Below are 21,415 nucleotides of genomic sequence, written 5' to 3'. Positions count from 1 at the left end.
CTTCCTCTAAAATGTTCCTGAGGCATAGATTCTTCTCTGTGTTTTGTGGTTCTAACCCTGTTCCTATAGTTAATTGATCACGTGATAGTCACCTGACTCAATTTAGGCAAAATAACAGTGTTTCAACTGGAACTACCAAAAGAAAGATTCAGGCCCTCTCTAGTAGAGAAAGTCATGAAACAGGCCCAGATTTGTTGACTGAATTATTCCATTTTTTTAAGAGGAAGCCAGTAGATGATATGAAGGCAAATAGATAATTTAGATAAAAGAAGGGATATAAAAAGTGAGAGTCCCAGTGTCGTTGAAATCCCTCAAAACTCAAATATACCCCTGTATTATGAGCACTTTGGTGAGACTACATAGTATCCTTTCGATAAAGCTCCTTTATACCTAAGATAGCTAAAGCTTTGGTATCTCTCCACAGAGTCCTGCCTAATACAGGTGTTGCAAAGGAAGACTCTAAAATGTGGACTGGCTGAGGCGAGGTGGGATAAGGGACAATGAAGGTCTTCACTTGTCTTATGTTGACTAAAGCAGAGGCAGTCAGGCCTAGCAATGGAATGCATTTTACCATTGGAGGCATCATTATCCCACTGGTAATTGTTACACAGAAGATATGTAACAAACTGATCCCATTTGGCGTAACAAAGATTTTCATTTTCTTGGCCTGAGATTTCATTCCAAAAATGTGTTCAATGTAAAGTTGTAAACTCAATGTAAACTCAAGTTCTTCCTTTTTCATGTTGACCCTTGGTATGTTAAAGGTAATGGCCCAGGAATCTGTATCATAATTATTCCAGCACCAATTTTCTTGAAAAAGAAAAAGAGACAAGAGGTGAAGAGAAAAAAAGGAGAGGAAAAGGAAAACGAAGTGACAGAAACTAGAAAATATCAAAAAAAAGTGACAAATAGAATTTTACACAAGTAGTGGATATAAACCATGAAGCAGATCATGTAGACAGGTCTAAATTCTGATCATTTATTTGAAACTACTTTTTAACCTTTATTTCTTTTTGTGAACACTAGCATCATTATTTTTTTATTGGCAACTTTGAGAAGAATACAAATTGTTTTAATGATCTCAGGGTGAATGAAGATGTGGATTACATTGGTAACGTATTTGTCTATCAAAAGCTACTAAGATTCTGGAAATTGAATCAGGGTAATTAACAAAGCCATCACTTCACATACTTGGTTTAATCATTTCACAATGTAAACATATCAAAACTTCACATTGTACCCAATAAATATATACAGTTATTTGTCAATTAAAAATAAAATAATAAAATTAATAAAAAAATAAAAATTTAAAAAGTTACAGTGCTAGAAGATTCAAATAAATTTATACCTGAATTATTGAGACTTTAAAAATGTTATCCAAGAAAGTTTATGTGAACAATTTTTAGGGCTCTATTTTTACCACTGTAATTTGTTTAGATTTCACAAGATTCCTGTCACTCTTTTTTCTCATCTATGAAATGAGAATAATAATCGTACCTATTCTATAGGGTTGTTTTGAAGATAAACTATAATAATATATGTAAAGTGCTTGAAATAGCACATAGAAACTATGCTAAAATATAGAGAATGGAATTTTTCACTTAGCTATTTGCAATAATAATCTTAAATTATGTAGTTAGAATTTGGCTCAGCAATAATTTTATTATACTTAGCCAATGAGAGTCATATTTGTTTAATTAATAAGTGTACACAAATTTTTTAACCAAAAAATATGTGAAAAGTTCCCTATAGCCATGCATGCTAACATAACTATTTAACAACTGACAAACCAGAACCTATGCTTCCCTGATCTCTAATCCCCACATCCCAAAATTACCTCTGCAATCCCTCTGCTGAGACCGCCATGGTATAAGATATTCTCTCACAATAATACTTTTGACACTATGGACAATACCCTCTTTGTAAGAGTGCCCCATACTTGGTGTTGGTATACCAACAGTCTTTGGAATAAACTGGCGTGAACATAGAGATCAAATTTTACATGCTAAGAACTTATTGAGGATACAGACTACACTGAAGAGGGCAGCATGCTGTGTTCATAAAGCATGAGATCACATTTTGGACCCAAGTTTTGAGGTATGAGATAATATAGAATTTACCTTGCTACCTGTTTTTGTAAATAAAATTTTACTGGAACACTGTCATACCCATCCCTTTATCAGTGGCTTTCCTTATCAGTGGCTGCTTTCAAGTAATAATAGCAGAGTTGAGTAGTTGTGATAGAGACCACCACATTGTCTACAAAGCTTAAAATATTTATTATCTGGACATTTACAGAAAAAGTTTGCAAAATCCTACTCAAACCATCATAGAAATGCTCTGGTTCTGTGTCTTAAACTGAGAAGGTACAGTCCTGAGCTTATGATTTTCTTTCTGAAACTTTCCAGTGCAGACTGGAACAACTGTACCAAGTGTTTGAGAAATTCATATTCACACTGCAGTAACCATTTACATTGCTATCAATAGGCTCTTTGGTAATCAGAGAAGATAATTAAGCAACTTTTTTGCCACTATATACCAGCAATCACATATTCCATTTGTAGTGGAATGCATTAAAACTTAATTAGGCAAAATATCCTAAATCCCAATAATCAAGATTCAGTTTTTTGGGATAGCTCCTGGAACCAAGTCTTTATCAGTCAAGGTCTAATTAAGAAAACAAAAATGAGTATTTCAAACAGAGGAAATGAAATAAAATAAATTGCTTATAAAGATGTTTAGAGAGCTGGAGGACAAACAAGAAGAAAGTAAGTTATTAGAAAAATTAGTGACCAAAGAAAAATATGTTCAGTATTTTTACATGTGCAGCTGAGCTGATGGTGATAGAACCAACCTACCTAAGAGCCCGTGTTCAGAGCAGCTTCAGCTGTAATTATCACAAGCACTGCCATAGCCTGGAGGAAAAGACTTATCCCTTCTTATCATCACCCTCGTCAGAGGGTGTATCCCTCCGACATCCCTCAAGTGCATCACAGCATCAGAGCCTAATGGAAACTACTTGGTAAGAAAGTCCTGGAAATGTACTTTCACAGGCTTCCCACTGGTGGGTCAAGAAAGCCACTGTAAGCTGAATTGTGAACTCATGGAACTCAGTGACAACGGATACAATCTGGCACAAATTCTACTTTTGCTATATATTTGAGTTAATAAAGATACCAAGTATAGTTTTAAAAATCTTTATTGTGGATAATAGTTTCTACACTTAGCATGTTATTTATATATAAAATATTATAATACCATGTCTGTCATCTATTTAGTGTTCTCTATATTGTTTTTAGGATAGTTGTGCAGATATGGTTGTTTATACTGCTGTATTCTTTCTTCAACTGTTATGGTTTGGGCATCGTCTCTCATGGATTGAAACTCCAAATTCCTTGTCTTTTCTATATTCTATTTATTTCATTTTCTTCTGATTTCTGGGAGAAATCCTCAATTCTATGTTCTCACCAATCCATTGAGTTTTTCATTTCTGCTGTCATATGTTTAATTTCTAAGGTGCCTTTTCTCTAATTTTCCTTTTTATAGTATCCTGATCTTCTTTCATTACTGCATTTTTTCTCTTAAGCCCCGAGAACAAATAAAGTTTTCTTCACCCTGTTGCTTTTTGTTTGTTTTATTCCCTGTCTTTCATATTAATTGCTTTTATCAAATGTCTGAGTGACCCTTGATTCTCTGCTTTTATTTAAGAGTGGTGTATAAAAAAGCTAGTAGTTCTGGGTGCATGGTGGAGAGTACCATCTGTGGTTACTGCGGCAGTATTGTCTGCCTGGCCTTTACTATTGGAGAATTTTATTGTCATAAATTTAGGTTTCCACCCCGAGCTGTCAGATTCTCCAGAGATCGTTCTTTCTTTCTTTTTTTTTTTTTTCTTTTTTTGTACTTTAGAAAATAGTCACAGAGCTGCCTAGATTTTCAGGGACAAGCTTTGGCAGAATGCTGGAAATCTCAATATTCAGCATGTAAGATTTTACTTAGTTTTCTATTTTTGATACAAAATTCCCACCCTGCACACTGCCCTATATCCCCAAGTACAAAGAGTCATTTCAGAGAATGAGCTTTGTTTCCTGCCAAGATGGTGAAGGGCATTTCCAGCTATGGAGTAAAGTGTTAAACAACTTCCTAAATTGACTTTAAACCTATCTCCAATTTTTAATTCCATCTGTACTCTCATGTCTAAAAATATCTAGTGCCACCAATTCCTAAAGATACAGAGAATTCTGCAGTTGCTTTCTGGCTTTCCCGAATGTCTGCCAAAGATTTATTAGTAGCTTCTATTTTATTTTTTGCTTTCCACGTTCATCCATCTGGTTTCCACCTTTCAAAATGTATTGTTTTCTTTCCTGTTCTCTTTGTCCTCATTGACTTTTTAAATTAAGGATTTGGGAGACAGTATAAGTTAAATGCATACGCTAAATCCGCCATCTTTAACTAGAAGTTTCCAATAGACTATATTTTAGGTCTCACCTTTAGTGGGCATGTGGGTAGGTGGATGTGTAATGTGAGTCTGTGTGGTTGACAGTACTGTCAATATTGATAACTACCTCCTTCTTAAAAAAGCTTTCTTACTGCAATAAGCTTTAAGGGAAGAGAGGTGTAGATGTAACTGTCTTTGTCAACTCTGCCAGTTTCCAAATTTGGGTGTACTCAGGAATCTTATGTTGAGGTTTTTGGATTCAGGAGTGGAATGTCTCTCTTAACAAACCACTCTTTTCTTCCATGTTTATTTGCAAGTTGGCAAGCTCCAGTCAGGGCTCATTTCTTCTTTCAGGACCTTTTCAAGCTCAAAAACAAGTATATACCAAATTCCGGATTTTACCTATCATTTTCCCTAAAACTACAGTCCACAGACTGTGTCCCAAATAGAGCTGCAGAACAAAGTTTATAAGAAATCTTTTGGGCCCACAGTGGTTTGATATGTATACTGAACCAACTTCACATTTTTGGTTCTGTTGCTTTCAGTACCTAACTCCAGCACTAAATTTGCATAAATTAAGATTAGATTTGTCTGCTCAGAATATAAAACTCTACCAAACAGTGGCTTAAACTAATTAGTAGGTTATTTTCCTTATAAAATAAAGAACCTAGAGTTAGATTATCCAGAGCTCATATATGGCTCCTTCGTGCCACTGGGAACCTGGGTTTCCTTCAGCTCTTTGCCTGTCATCTTTGATCTGCTATACTGAGATTCTTTCCTCATGGCTATATCATGAACATGAGCTCCAGTAATCAAGTCCATATTCCAAAAGGAAGAAGGGAAGACCAAAGTACCAAATGTGGGGGTGCTTGCTAAATCTAATCCTGCCTTAATCCATTTGTAATGCTATCGCAAAATACCACAGGCTGGGTAAATTACAAATATCAGGAATTTATTTTTTCACTGTTTTAGAAGATGGAAAGTTCAAGATCAAGGCACCAACAGATGTAGTGTCTGGTGAAAGCTCTCTTTCTGTTTCATAGATGCCGCCTCTTGTTGTGTCCTCACATGGCAGGGGAGATGGAAGGTGTTGGCAGCTCTCTGAATCCTCTTTTATAAGAGCATTAATCCTATTCATGAGGATGGAGCCCTCATGGCCTGGACAATTCCCCAAACCCTCACCTCTCAAAACCAACACCTTTGGCTTTAAGTTCCAACATATGAATTTTAGAGAGACAAATACATTCAAATGATAGCAAACCCTCTTTACTATAAAATTTCCCCCAAATGTTCCCACTCAGTAATTTCTGTTTATATCTCTTTGGCTGGGCAAATTGTTACTCTAGACAAAATCAAAGATCTTATAATAAAAAGGAATGGATTGTCTCATCTCCTAACTGTACTCACTGTTTTCTCTCTTGCCCACCCCAATTCATTCTCCAATCACCAGTCAGAGTAAGCTTTCTCAAAGAAAATCTGATCGTATCAGTCTTCTTATGCAACTCTTCAATGCAATCCTATTGAACTTAGTAAAAAAAAGTTCAAAAGCATTAACGTAGCTGTCAGAAATTGCATAGACTGTCACCTGCTTCCCTCCTAAGCCTCCTTTCTTATCACTGTTTCCCTTACCCTCCAAGCCTCACACATATGGACCTCCTGTGATTCAGTTATGTGAAGCCAGCATGCTTTTGCCACACTCCTTGATTTTCACACATGCTAGTCCCACTGCCTGATAAATTCCTGCCCTCATTCTTCACCTGAATAACAAATGATCTTTGTGATATCTATTTAGATATTATATACCTAGAAGAATCTTCCCTAACTTCCAAAATTAAACAAACTTCCTCATTTCAATTTCTATTGACCTCTTTATTTCTCATTTATAGCAGTTGTAAAAGTGAGTAATAATTGCTTCTTGTTTTATGCCTGAAATAATTTCATGCACTCTTACTTGTGTCTTCTAAAAATCTAACAGATAAAGAAAGTAACATGTACAGCTAGTCTTTTATATAATTTGTAGACACACACACATTTCATAATTCGGAGCTTGCCTAAGAAAGCTGTAATACTGTGAGATTTTTATTTTTCTAAATCATTGCAGAAGCAAGGAATCTGTCACCACGCCTTTAGTCCTGTCCATGTTGTCACTGATCTGTGATCTATGACATGGCCATTTTCCTTCTCCTGATGGTGTGCTATTATAAAAGCTTTGCAAAGTGACAGTACTGGGAAGTGGTGTTTGAACAGGGTATACCCAATGGGTCTCCTTCTTGCCCAGTCCTTGTCCCTGTTCATTTTTTATGGCTGATGTGAATCACAACTGAGCTGTGTTTTTTGTTTCTGAATCCTCAGCTTTGGTGTCCTCCTTAAAGATAAATTTAAAGCATTTACAAATCTTCTCGGAGGGTTTCTTTTTTGGCCAAGATATAACTCTGTTTATTTAAGGGTCTAATTTCAACCTACTGCTGCTGTGAGGTTAAATCCAACTTTCACCAAAGGTTTTCTGGAACATAAATTCCCCCTGCTATGTAAGTGGGAAGCAGCACATACTGTGTGAAATCAACTTTGATTTTGCTAACAGGTTAGGAACCAGAGGAAAAGCAGTTGGAATGAATCTAACAAAATCTATCAATCTTTTGGATGACTTTGTAGGTTCATAGACTATCCTACATATTTTATGTCCCTAGAGATGAGGGAAAAAGAGAAAAATCCTAATAGCGATAATATATTTATTTATGTTTCTCTATTTTAAATAATGGTAATAATAAAACTCTTACTATTTAAAAAGTATCTCTTTATTTAAAAGTTACTTAAATGCTATTTATTTTAAAATAAAAATTTTTAAAAGTATATATTTAGTCAAAAATTATTAAATAGTTGGGCACATGTTCAAGAGAAACTCATGGGTTTGTTGTCTTCCATTTAAAAATTATGCCCTGGGCATCATAAAATTATAAATTAGATTCTTCTGTAATTATTAGAATTAATATCTTCTACACTGGTGGAACCACAATATTTTGTATTCTTAGTCAAGCCCGAATAACATACTACTTGTGTAATTTGTTTTGTTTGCATGCCCGTCTTCCCAAACAGATTGCAAAATCTTTGAGTGCAAGGATATAGTACACACTAAAATTTTTGTTGTGTTGTTGAATTTTAAAAAAAAAGTATCTGAGAGCACTTTATATAAGCTACATATTGTTGTTGTTGTTGTTGTTGTCGTTGTTGTTTTGAGATGGAGTCTTGCTCTGTCATGCAGGCTGGAATGCAGTGGTACAACCTCGGAGCACTGCAACCTCCACCTTCTGAGTTCAAGCAATTCTCCTGCTTCAGCCTCCCTAGTAGCTGGGACTACAGGCACACATCACCACACCCGACTAATTTTTGTATTTTGAGAAGAGGCGGGGTTTTGCCATGTTGGCCAGGCTAGTCTTGAACTCTTGACCCCAGGTAATCTGCCTGCCTCAGCCACCCAAAGTGCTGGGATTACAGGTGTGAGCCACAGCACCCAGCCTAATTAGCTAAGTATTGTATATGTTTTTCTTAGAAAGCCACATCTCATTGAAAAATATTGTGTAAATTGTAAATGACACCAACAAGCCATTCTCTTACTACTTTACTTATATAAAAACATAGAGCAATGATTCTTTAAACCCTGTAAGTCTACCCAGTACTAAATGTTCCAATAAAATGTCAAATATAGTACTCAATGTCTCTGAAAATTGTTAAATATAAGGACAAATATTGTACAGAAAATTTGACTGATAAATGTGAAGCTATGCATTATCTATAGTAATTAGTATATTGCAAATTTATTAGGCTTTATTTCTCTTTAGAAAGTTTCTGAAAGCATTCATGGTATTACTGGAGAGTGTACATTAAAAAGCTCCTCAAAAGTCCTTAATACTCCAGAAATATAGATGTTAATGTACACTTCTCTCACCTTGTACTTGCTACCATGAACAGAAGATTGTGAAGGTAAAACCATTTGCTCTTTGATTTATAAGGATGGCTTGAGTCCATATAAAATAGACTCTTCAATGCTATAATGTACATTTTAAGATTAAAAATATTAATATTCAAATATGAGAGAGTGATTTTAACATTAATTTTTAAATTTTTTACAAAATCATATTCCCAAAATATTTTTGGCTTTCATAAATTGAAGAAAATAATGAAAATCCTGTTGATGTTCATATGTCAAATTATATGCACATATTCAGTTTAATGTCACAAATTCCATACCTTTCTCATTTATAGGAGAAGGTATTAACTATTTTTACTGGTTATCTGATTTTTCTGTTTTTCTAGCCAATTCTTTTTTACATATTTGTGATTAAAACTAATCTTATTTGCATATGTGCTAAATGTAAATAAGATTCAGATCCATATCCATTGTAATATGGATACTAGAACATAAAATATTCCTACTGTACTTGAAAGCAACAAAAATGGCACCTAACCATAGTTTGTCTATGCCAGCCCCTCACTACTGAACCTTGATTGCTACTTTGCCCCACAATGATTATTGCTAGCATTGGTATACATTTCCCTTCATACTTAGAGAATCTTCATATTATTCATCCATCTATACTAGTTAATATACAAGGTTAATACATAAAAACTGAAATGGAGGAGGGACCTTCAAGGGGGCTGACTAGAGGCATTTGACACTTACCCTCCCCACAGAGAAGAACCAAATCAGTGAGCAGATAATCCCACTCTGAATAGAGCATCTACTTAAGAACACTGAATTCAGCAGAGAAGTGATAGGAAACACCTTAGGCACATAAGCAGAGAGAAGTAAGGCAGTTGGCCCAGCCAGAATCATCACAGCCTTCTGTAATCCTAGCCATAGAAAAGCCCTCTCCATCCTTAGGGGCCCTGCAACTAATATAGGAGCTGCCTGGTGTCTGTGTGAGAGCAGTGCTTAGAGAGGGAGCTCATGTTGAGTCCCACACAACCCTGAGACATATAGCTGCATCACACACCATCTTGAGAGCCCACACCCCACCAGACTGCATCCCGTCCTGGGGCCTAACAATACCTGTATCTCTACCTCCTTGACATCCCCCATGTCCAACTGGAGGGCTTCAGTGGTGTGATACCCTACCACTCAGCAGTGCAGTAAGTTCTCCAGAACTCTAGCCCACACAGTGCCCTAAACTCCAAGGAATGGGTAGTGTATCACACTAGGAAGGCTGGGTCAAAGGGAGCCGAAGTGTGTGCTTCCCAGAGCCTGAAAGCTGCCTATCTGTAGCCACTACCAATGACAGAAATTCTGCTCTCATTAGCATCAAGACCACAGCATACTTGCACTTGCCCTGAGGATGACAAAAGAAAAAAAAAACTATCAGCTAAGAATACTATACCCAGAATAATTGTTCTCCATAAATGAAGTAAAAATAGTCTTTCCCAGACAAGAAAAACTTGAGAAAATTTATCACCCCTTGTGGGGCCCTTCAAGAAATGCTTATGCAAGTCCTATGCCTGGAAGCAGAACAAAAGGATATCTAGTATCATAAAACACATGAACATATAAAACACACTGGTAGAGCAAATAAATGATGAAGACAAAGAACTCAAAGTTTATCAAAACAGAAGAATGCCAAACTGCAATGATAAATGATAAGAGAGAAGAAAAGGAACAGAGGATATAGAAAACACCCAGAAATCAATTAATAAAAAGACAGAAATAAGTCTTTGCATATCAATAATAATCTTGAATGTAAACAGATTAAATTTTCCACTTAAAAGATAGAGACTGGCTGAATAGATATTTTTTAAAAAATGACCCAACTATATGCTTCCTACAGGAAACTCATTTCATCTGTGAAGACACATATAGGCTGAAAGTAAATGGATGGAAAAAGATATTCCACACAAACAGTAACTGAAAGTTAGCAAGAGTAGCTTTACTTATATCAGATAAAACATACTTTAAGTTAAAAACAGTTAAAAACATTAAGAAGAGACTGCCAGGTGCAGTGGCTCAAGCCTATAATTCCAGCACTTTGAGAGGCCGAGGTGGGCGGATCTCGAGGTCAGGAGATCGAGACCATCCTGGCTAACATGGTGAAACCCCATCTCTACTAAAAATACAAAAACAAAGTTAGTCAGTCGTGGTGGCGGGCACCTGTAGTCCCAGCTACTCAGGAGGCTGAGGCAGGAGAATGGTGTGAACCTGGGAGGTGGAGTTTGCAGTGAGCCAAGATTGTGCCACTGCACTCCAGCCTGGGTGACAGAGCAAGACTCCGCAAAAAAAAAAAAAACAAAAAACAAAAAACAAAAAAAAACCACACACATTTAGAAGAGACAAAGAAGGTCATTACATAATGACAAAGGGATCAATTTAGCAAGAGTATATGATAATTCAAAATATATATGCACCTAACCCTGGAGCACCCCAATATATAAAGCAAATATTATTAGATCTAAAAGAAAAGATAAATTTGAATACAAAAATAGTTGGGGACTTCAACACCTGACTCATGGCATTAAACAGATAATCTAGAGAGAAAACAAAGAAACACTGGATTTAAATGAGACTTTAGACCAAATGGAACTAACATTCACATTTATAGAACATTTTATCAAATAGCTATAAAATACATATTCTTCTCATCAGCAAAAGGAAAATTCTCCAGGATATGTTAGGCCACAAAACAAGTCTCAACAAATTTTTAAAAACTGAAATCATATGAGGTATCTTCTCAGAAACGATAGGATAAAAGTAGAAGTCATTATCAAGAGGAACTTTGGAAACTGTACAAATATATGGAAATTAGACAAATACATGTTCCTAAATGACTATTAATAAAGAAATTAAAAAGGAAATTTTAAAAATTATTGAAACAAATGAAAATGGAATCACAACATACTAAAACCTATGGGATACAATGCTAACTGGGACGTTTATAGCAAGAAGTTCCTACTTCCAAATAGTAGAAAGATTTCACATAAACAACCTAACAATGCACCTGAAGGAACTAGAAAAACAAAAACAAACCAAGCCCCAAAAGGTAGAAAAAATAAATAATGAAGAGTAGAACAGAATTAAATGAAATAGAGACTAAAACAATAATACAAAGGATCAACAAAATGAAAAGTGAGCTTATTGAAAAGATGAGCAAAATTAATAAACCACTAACTAGAGTAACAAAGAAGATAAGATAGAAGACTCAAGCAAAATCAGAAATAAGAAAGGAAACCTTAGAATTGACACTACAAGAATACAAAAGATAATCAGAGATTATTATGAACAACTATATGTTAAGAAACTTGAAAACCTACAGAAAAGGGATCAATTCCTAGACATATACAACCTAACATGATTGAATCAGAAAGAAATAGAAAGCCTCAATAGACCAATAATTAGTAACAATGTTGAATCAGTAATACAAAATCTTCCAACAAAGCAAAGCCCAGACTGATGGCTTCAATGCCAAATTCTACCAGAAACCTAACACTAATTATTTTCAAACCACTCCAAAAAAAAAAAAAAAAAACTGATGAGAAGGGAATTCTCCCTAACTCATTCTATAAAACCAGCATTACCCTGATATTAAAGCTATACAAGGACATAACAACAACAACAACCAAGAAAAAAAACACAACAGGCCAATGTTCCTGGTGAACATAGACACAAAAATTCTCAACAACATACTAGGAAACTGAATCAATCCCATAACACATCAAAAAAGATAATACACCATGATCCAGTGGGATTTATACCAGGGAAGCAAAGATATTTTAACATATACAAATCAATAAACATGATATATCACATTAACAAAATGAAGGACTAAAACTATATGATCATCTCAATAGATGCAGAAAAGCATTTGATAAAACTAACATTTCTTCATGATAAAAGTTCTCAACATGCTAGGCATAGAAGGAGTATACCTCAACATAATATAGGCCATGTATGACAAACTCATAGCTAACATGATACTGAAGGGGGATACGATGAAAGCTTTTCCTCTAAGAACTAGAATATGACAAGAAAGCCCACTTTCATCACTCTTATTCAACACAGTACTAAAGTACTAGCCAGAGCAATTAGGCAAGAAAAATAAAAATAAAAAGCATCTAAATTGAAGAACTGGAAGTCAAATTATCCTTCTTTGCAGATATGATCGAATATTTAAAAACCTTAAGGATTCCCCCCAAAAAACTAAATCTGATAAACAAATTCAGTAAGCTTGCAGGATGCAAAATCAACATATGAAAATCAATAGTGTTTCCATACATCAATAATGAACAACCTGAAAAAGATAGTCCAAGAATGCAATCCCATTTACAATAGCTACAAAAAAGTTTATCTCAGGGAGGTAGAAAGTAGTATGATAGTTACCAGTCTGGGAATGGCAGGGTTGTGGAGTCAAGAGAGGTCGGTTAGTGGAAACAAATGTAAAATTAGATAGGAGGAATAAGTTACAATACACAATAGCAGAATAGGGTGACTATAGTTAACATCAATGTATTGTATATTTCAAAACGGCTAGAAGAGAGGACTTGTAAAACATTTTCTAAGTAAACCCGAAGTAAACATTTTCTAAGAGAGCATATTTACTGACCTGAAAAGCCAGTTCAGTTATGTGGATTCACTGGTATACATGATGAAGTTGTTGCTAAATGGTTAATAGTATTCATGAGAAAAATTAAAACAACACAACTTTTTATTAGCTTTTATGTATATTTTAACAACTCTCTCTTCTCTTTGGTCACATACTTGTAATAAGTAAAACAAAATAAATGAAATCAGTATGCTCATGTATTTGACAAAAATCACTATCCTTAAAGAAAGATAATAATAATAAAATGATAATGTAATTATGGCCTCTAACAAATTTAGGAGACTCATGGTATAATGTGCACATGCTAGATACTTATAAATTTTAAAATAGTAATAATTACAATGATATAGTGTGCAAATTTCTCCAGATCCATTATAGGGAAAGAGAGAGTTTCAGATTACTAGCAAGTAAATTTGGGCTCAGAAAACTAAACTATTGGGTGTAATTATCTGTCTCTGAGCATCATCCATTTCTGCAGAGAGCTGGGAAGAAATTGCTGCTTATGATTTCATTTCTTCCTTTTCTAGGGAATTGATTTTATCTTTAACTTTACGTTGTAAAAAATTATCATTGACATCATTTAACAAATAAAACAAAGCCAAGAAGACCATAACAAAACTTTGAACGCATATGCGGTCCCATTGATACATAGAACTGAGAATATTTTGGGGCATTCTTGGAGTTCATGGAATAAATATATTTGAGATTTAGACTTGGATCTTCCAGTAATGAATTGTGTGATACCTAATAGGACATGTACACTCCCTAGTATTCATGTTTCTTGTTTGGAAGTGAGAAATCAAACTGGTGGCTATTTAATGTGCCATCAGCTCTCTTGTTGAGCCTAATGGACTCTGGGACAAAGGGCTCTGTCTATTCACAGTGATAAGAGAATGCTTTCAGTAAAGTTTGAAATAGGTTCTTGATTATTCCTTTTTAATACAAATAATTAATGGAGCAATTTAAAAAGTTTAGTCTTTTGTGATGTAAACACTTTGAAATAATTTTATTTCAATGCTGTTTTTTCAGACCATCTAGTGTCCTAGGTCGATCAGAGAAGTATTTAGACATGAGCTCTCACTGACTCCAAGATTTTATAAGTTTTGTTGAGGACAAGGTCCACCTGGTCAGTAATACCATGTTAGTTCTTTGACAGGGACCTTCCCTTGTTTTGAGAGCAATGGAAAAGGAATATTTGTTCAGTTCCAACAGACTTAACATGTAGTCTATTTCTGGCTTTGTGGTCAGGGCCTGTCCCTGTTTCTTCTGTAAATGTCACACGAATCTGTGTACCTAAAGTTTTGTTTTTTCCCACTTTATAATAGACTAAAGAAATTTTTAGATAAAATATTCACATTTATTTTATTAATCTTTAATGTCTAACCAAACTTTACAAAACTATTTTCAGCATCACAGATTCTTATTTTCAGTTTTTGATTCATCAAATATAATTGTATAATTATACAGTTGCTACATGGTAAAATGCTAACTTTCTTTAGTTTTCATAGATTATTTTAGTAAGAAGGTAAAGTTTTAAAGACTCAGTAAGACAATTATTTTTATAAAAGTAGATATAATAATTTCTTACTGAAATTATGTTTTTGTAATCATCTAATAGCTACTATTTTTAACAGATTATATCCCAGATGCTGTACTGTGTGTTTTATACTGATCTTATTTAATTCTTATAATAAACCTGGAAAGTATTATCATAGAAATAAAAATATTCTAATATTTTAAAGAGACAGATTAACATGTCCTCATATAGAGTTTATATATGACAAATTATGACAAATTCACTATATTTATTTATTTATAAGTGAATAAACCAAATTTTATTTGTGTATTTCTTTTAGAAAGAAGAAACCATAAATAAATAAAACATTATAATTGCTATCACTTACTATTAAATGACTAGTCAGATATACTGTTAATTCATTTAATAGCCTTTTTTTTTTTTTTTTTTTTTTTTTCCGAGACAGATTCTCGCTCTGTTGCCCAGGCTGGAGTGCAGTGGTGCGATCTCGGCTCACTGCAAGCTCCGCCTCCCGGGTCACGCCATTCTCCTGCCTCAGCCTCCTGAGTAGCTGGGACTACAGGCACCCGTCACCACTCCCAGCTAATTTTGCTTTTGTATTTTTAGTAGAGACGGGGTTTCACTGTGTTAGCCAGGATGGTCTAATAGCATTTTTAAAAACTTAAATGAATCATTACCTTCTTTAGAGACGGCTCTAATCATAAGTTTATTTATTTATTTATTTTTTGGCCACAATGAACCTAATGTCTATAATAAAGGGGATAGGTTTTCCAATTTTAAGAGTTATCATCAACCCCAGGGAAAAATTCTTGGAGTTAGGTGACTTTTTAAACTTTAAACCCTTGAAATAAATACAAAGAATATGGTAGTACCCCTTTTCCTGAACTGCTGAACTACCAAACCTGTCCTATATGATATGTAAACAATTTTTTGAGTAAACACACATTTGTGTATGTGTAAATACATATTCTCCACTGAATCAGCACATCTACCACTTCTGATTGTTGGAAGGGAAAGCTTTCGCATTTTGAACTCAGTTCCACCTGTTTGTGTATGAAGGTGCCTGGAGTGATAAATCCAGGACTTAAGAGGCACATGCAGATGGTAGACCTTCAAATTCAAGTCCTAGGAGTACAGAGGATAGAAAAGAGATCTGCTTTTCTGCTTGTGTTGGCAGTTGTTCAGTTGGGCTGTACAGGAGGAGGTTCCCATTGAATCTCCTTGTCTATTCTGCACACAGGTAGTAGCTTCTGTTTATCTAAAACTAAAGGTCAGATGGATTTTGTATAGCAATGTTTTCATTCTCTGGTGGAGAATTATGCACTTGTACTTTTAGGAACTTACACTATGTAAGAGTTTTCATCTATGAAAATTTATATTCAGCATAACAAGTAATAGGAATTCAGGAGTAATGATTAACTCAAATGATTAGGTTAAGGTGTGTGTTCTTTAAATAATATGTTTATCCCTGATAAAATGGCTGTGTTATCACTATTTGCACTTGGAAATTAATTGAATAAATATACTAGTTATAGTGATAGTATACTGTAGGCAAATCTACCCAAATGCATAAAAAATTTTAACAGTACTAACAAGACATTTAAAGCTCATGTAATAATGCAATCTGAATGTCCAACCCAGTCCTCTCCTCTACAACCTGGGGTTGTCCTTGTCATCTTCTTCTGAATATTTCCAAATTACTTTATATTAATATGTCTTAAAATAACCTCATCAACTCTACTGACCTTCCCTTCAGGTCATCTAGAAGTAGAACTTTTTAATTCTCTGAAGAACCAGCCAGGAGACCCCTTTATATTCAGTACAGATGAGGCAACCACTTTTCTGGGAATAAATTATAATAGAACACAGATGTTCTGATTTTATTTGGTTTGGTTTGGTTGGGATTGCTCCTCTGGTTGTTTCTTAGAAAGTTCCTGAAGTTTTAAAGGGTTTTTAAACTATCTGCCTAGGAGTTTCAAATCACTGAAGAATCAGTTGTGGCTTTTTAACTAAAGCCAAGAAACAGTTATTGAGCACTTGTAAATGCTACAAAAAAAGTGCTTACAGTACCAAAATGATTAAGAAAGTTACTGCTTACAAGGAGTTTTTAGTCTATCCAAGCAGCCCAATCTATAAGCAAGAAATTGCTTTAATGTAGCTGTAAGGTGCCATGGACGAGGATAAGGATGACTTCTGAATCAGATATTGTGGATAATAAACAAACTCACCCTTATGAATATATTAAGATAAGTAGGTCCTAAATGGGTTGTAATTTATTTAGACACCTAACAAGTAGACTTATCTAAAAATAGGTTATATATTATCTATTTAATTCTATACTTAGCATTTTTCAGTTTTCACTTTTTTTTAATTTAATTTAATTTAATTTTTTTTTTTATTATACTTTAAGTTTTAGGGTACATGTGCACATTGTGTAGGTTAGTTACATATGTATACCTGTGCCATGCTGGTGCGCTACACCCACTAACTCGTCATCCAGCATTAGGTATATCTCCCAATGCTATCTCTCCCCGCTCCTCCCACCCCACAACAGTCCCCAGGGTGTGATATTCCCCTTCCTGTGTCCATGTGATCTCATTGTTCAATTCCCACCTATGAGTGAGAATATGCGGTGTTTGGTTTTTTGTTCTTGCAATAGTTTACTGAGAATGATGATTTCCAATTTCATCCATGTCCCTACAAAGGACATGAACTCATCATTTTTTATGGCTGCATAGTATTCCATGGTGTATATGTGCCACATTTTCTTAATCCAGTCTATCATTGTTGGACATTTGGGTTGGTTCCAAGTCTTTGCTATTGTGAATAATGCCACAATAAACATACGTGTGCATGTGTCTTTATAGCAGCATGATTTATAGTCCTTTGGGTATTTACCTAGTAATGGGATGGCTGGGTCAAATGGTATTTCTAGTTCTAGATCCCTGAGGAATCGCCACACTGACTTCCACAATGGTTGAACTAGTTTACAGTCCCACCAACAGTGTAAAAGTGTTCCTATTTCTCCACATCCTCTCCAGCACCTGTTGTTTCCTGACTTTTGAATGATTGCCATTCTAACTGGTGTGAGATGGTATCTCATTGTGGTTTTGATTTGCATTTCTCTGATGGCCAGTGATGATGAGCATTTTTTCATGTGTTTTTTGGCTGCATAAATGTCTTCTTTTGGGAAGTGTCTGTTCATGTCCTTTGCCCACTTTTTGATGGGGTTGTCTGTTTTTTTCTTGTAAATTTGTTTGAGTTCATTGTAGATTCTGGATATTAGCCCTTTGTCAGATGAGTAGGTAGCGAAAATTTTCTCCCATTCTGTAGGTTGCCTGTTCACTCTGATGGTAGTTTCTTTTGCTGTGCAGAAGCTCTTTAGTTTAATTAGATCCCATTTGTCCATTTTGTCTTTTGTTGCCATTGGTTTTGGTGTTTTAGACATGAAGTCCTTGCCCATGCCTGTGTCCTAAATGGTAATGCCTAGGTTATCTTCTAGGGTTTTTATGGTTTTAGGTCTAACGTTTAAGTCTTTAATCCATCTTGAATTGATTTTTGTATAAGGTGTAAGGAAGGGATCCAGTTTCAGCTTTGTACATATGGCTAGCCAGTTTTCCCAGCACCATTTATTAAATAGGGAATCCTTTCCCCATTGCTTGTTTTTCTCAGGTTTGTCAAAGATCAGATAGTTGTAGATATGCGGCATTATTTCTGAGGGCTCTGTTCTGTTCCATTGATCTATATCTCTGTTTTGGTACCAGTACCATGCTGTTTTGGTTACTGTAGCCTTGTAGTATAGTTTGAAGTCAGGTAGTGTGATGCCTCCAGCTTTGTTCTTTTGGCTTAGGATTGACTTGGCGATGCGGGCTCTTTTTTGGTTCCATATGAACTTTAAAGTAGTTTTTTCCAATTCTGTGAAGAAAGTCATTGGTAGCTTGATGGGGATGGCATTGAATCTGTAAATTACCTTTGGCAGTATGGCCATTTTCACGATATTGATTCTTCCTACCCATGAGCATGGAATGTTCTTCCATTTGTTTGTATCCTCTTTTATTTCCTTGAGCAGTGGTTTGTAGTTCTCCTGGAAGAGGTCCTTCACATCCCTTGTAAGTTGGATTCCTAGGTATTTTATTCTCTTTGAAGCAATTGTGAATGGGATTTCCCTCATGATTTGGCTCTGTTTGTCTGTTGTTGGTGTATAAGAATGCTTGTGATTTTTGTACATTGATTTTGTATCCTGAGACTTTGCTGAAGTTGCTTATCAGCTTAAGGAGATTTTGGGCTGAGACAGTGGGGTTTTCTAGATACACAATCATGTCATCTGCAAACAGGGACAATTTGACTTCCTCGTTTCCTAATTGAATACCCATTATTTCCTTCTCCTGCCTAATTGCCCTGGCCAGAACTTCCAACACTATGTTGAATAGGAGTGGTGAGAGAGGGCATCCCTGTCTTGTGCCAGTTTTCAAAGGGAATGCTTCCAGTTTTTGCCCATTCAGTATGATGTTGGCTGTGGGTTTGTCATAGATAGCTCTTATTATTTTGAAATACGTCCCATCAATACCTAATTTATTGAGAGTTTTTAGCATGAAGGGTTGTTGAATTTTGTCAAAGGCTTTTTCTGCATCTATTGAGAGAATCATGTGGTTTTTGTCTTTGGCTCTGTTTATATGCTGGATTACATTTATTGATTTGCGTATGTTGAACCAGCCTTGCATCCCAGGGATGAAGCCCACTGATCATGGTGGATAAGCTTTTTGATGTGCTGCTGGATTCGTTTTGCCAGTATTTTATTGAGGATTTTTGCATCAATGTTCATCAAGGATATTGGTCTAAAATTCTCTTTTTTGGTTGTGTCTCTGTCCGGCCTTGGTATCAGAATGATGCTGGCCTCATAAAATGAGTTAGGGAGGATTCCCTCTTTTTCTATTGATTGGAATTGTTTCAGAAGGAATGGTACCAGCTCCTCCTTGTACCGCTGGTAGAATTTGGCTGTGAATCCATCTGGTCCTGGACTCTTTTTGGTTGGTAAACTATTGATTATTGCCACAATTTCAGATCCTGTTATTGGTCTATTCAGAGATTCAACTTCTTCCTGGTTTAGTCTTGGGAGAGTGTATGTGTCGAGGAATTTATCCATTTCTTCTAGATTTTCTAGTTTATTTGCGTAGAGGTGTTTGTAGTATTCTCTGATGGTAGATTGTATTTCTGTGGGATTGGTGGTGATATCCCCTTTATCATTTTTTATTGCGTCTATTTGATTCTTCTCTCTTTTTTTCTTTATTAGTCTTGCTAGCAGTCTATCAATTTTGTTGATCCTTTCAAAAAACCAGCTCCTGGATTCATTAATTTTTTGAAGGGTTTTTTGTGTCTCTATTTCCTTCAGTTCTGCTCTGATTTTAGTTATTTCTTGCCTTCTGCTAGCTTTTGAATGTGTTTGCTCTTGCTTTTCTAGTTCTTTTAATTGTGATGTTAGGGTGTCAATTTTGGATCTTTCCTGCTTTCTCTTGTGGGCATTTAGTGCTATAAATTTCCCTCTACACACTGCTTTGAATGCGTCCCAGAGATTCTGGTATGTTATGTCTTTGTTCTCATTGGTTTCAAGGAACATCTTTATTTCTGCCTTCATTTCGTTATGTACCCAGTAGTCATTCAGGAGCAGGTTGTTCAGTTTCCATGTAGTTGAGCGGTTTTGAGTGAGTTTCTTAATCCTGAGTTCTAGTTTGATTGCACTGTGGTCTGAGAGATAGTTTGTTATAATTTCTGTTCTTTTACATTTGCTGAGGAGAGCTTTACTTCCAAGTATGTGGTCAATTTTGGAATAGGTGTGGTGTGGTGCTGAAAAAAATGTATATTCTGTTGATTTGGGGTGGAGAGTTCTGTAGATGTCTATTAGGTCCGCTTGGTGCAGAGCTGAGTTCAATTCCTGGGTATCCTTGTTGACTTTCTGTCTCGTTGATCTGTCTAATTTTGACAGTGGGGTGTGAAAGTCTCCCATTATTAATGTGTGGGAGTCTAAGTCTCTTTGTAGGTCACTCAGGACTTGCTTTATGAATCTGGGTGTTCCTGTATTGGGTGCATATATATTTAGGATAGTTAGCTCTTCTTGTTGAATTGATCCCTTTACCATTATGTAATGGCCTTCTTTGTCTCTTTTGATCTTTGTTGGTTTAAAGTCTGTTTTATCAGAGACTAGGATTGCAACCCCTGCCTTTTTTTGTTTTCCATTTGCTTGGTAGATCTTCCTCCATCCTTTTATTTTGAGCTTATGTGTGTCTCTGCACGTGAGATGGGTTTCCTGAGTACGGCACACTGATGGGTCTTGACTCTTTATCCAATTTGCCAGTCTGTGTCTTTTAATTGGAGCATTTAGTCCATTTACATTTAAAGTTAATATTGTTATGTGTGAATTTGATCCTGTCATTATGATGTTAGCTGGTTCTTTTGCTGGTTAGTTGATGCAGTTTCTTCCTAGTCTCGATGGTCTTTACATTTTGGCATGATTTTGCAGTGGCTGGTACTGGTTGTTCCTTTCCATGTTTAGTGCTTCCTTGGGCCTGGTGGTGACAGAATCTCTCAGCATTTGCTTGTCTGTCAAGTATTTTATTTCTCCTTCGCTTATGAAGCTTAGTTTGGCTGGATATGAAATTCTGGGTTGAAAATTCTTTTCTTTAAGAATGTTGAATATTGGCCCCCACTCTCTTCTGGCTTGCAGGGTTTCTGCCGAGAGATCCGCTGTTAGTCTGATGGGCTTCCCTTTGAGGGTAACCCGACCTTTCTCTCTGGCTGCCCTTAACATTTTTTCCTTCATTTCAACTTTGGTGAATCTGACAATTATGTGTCTTGGAGTTGCTCTTC

Source organism: Homo sapiens, chromosome 4, assembly GCF_000001405.40.
Source record: "Homo sapiens chromosome 4, GRCh38.p14 Primary Assembly".
Taxonomy (NCBI): Eukaryota; Metazoa; Chordata; class Mammalia; order Primates; family Hominidae; genus Homo; species Homo sapiens.
The sequence above is the reverse complement of the archived record's forward strand: the minus strand, read 5'-3'. Positions refer to the sequence as shown.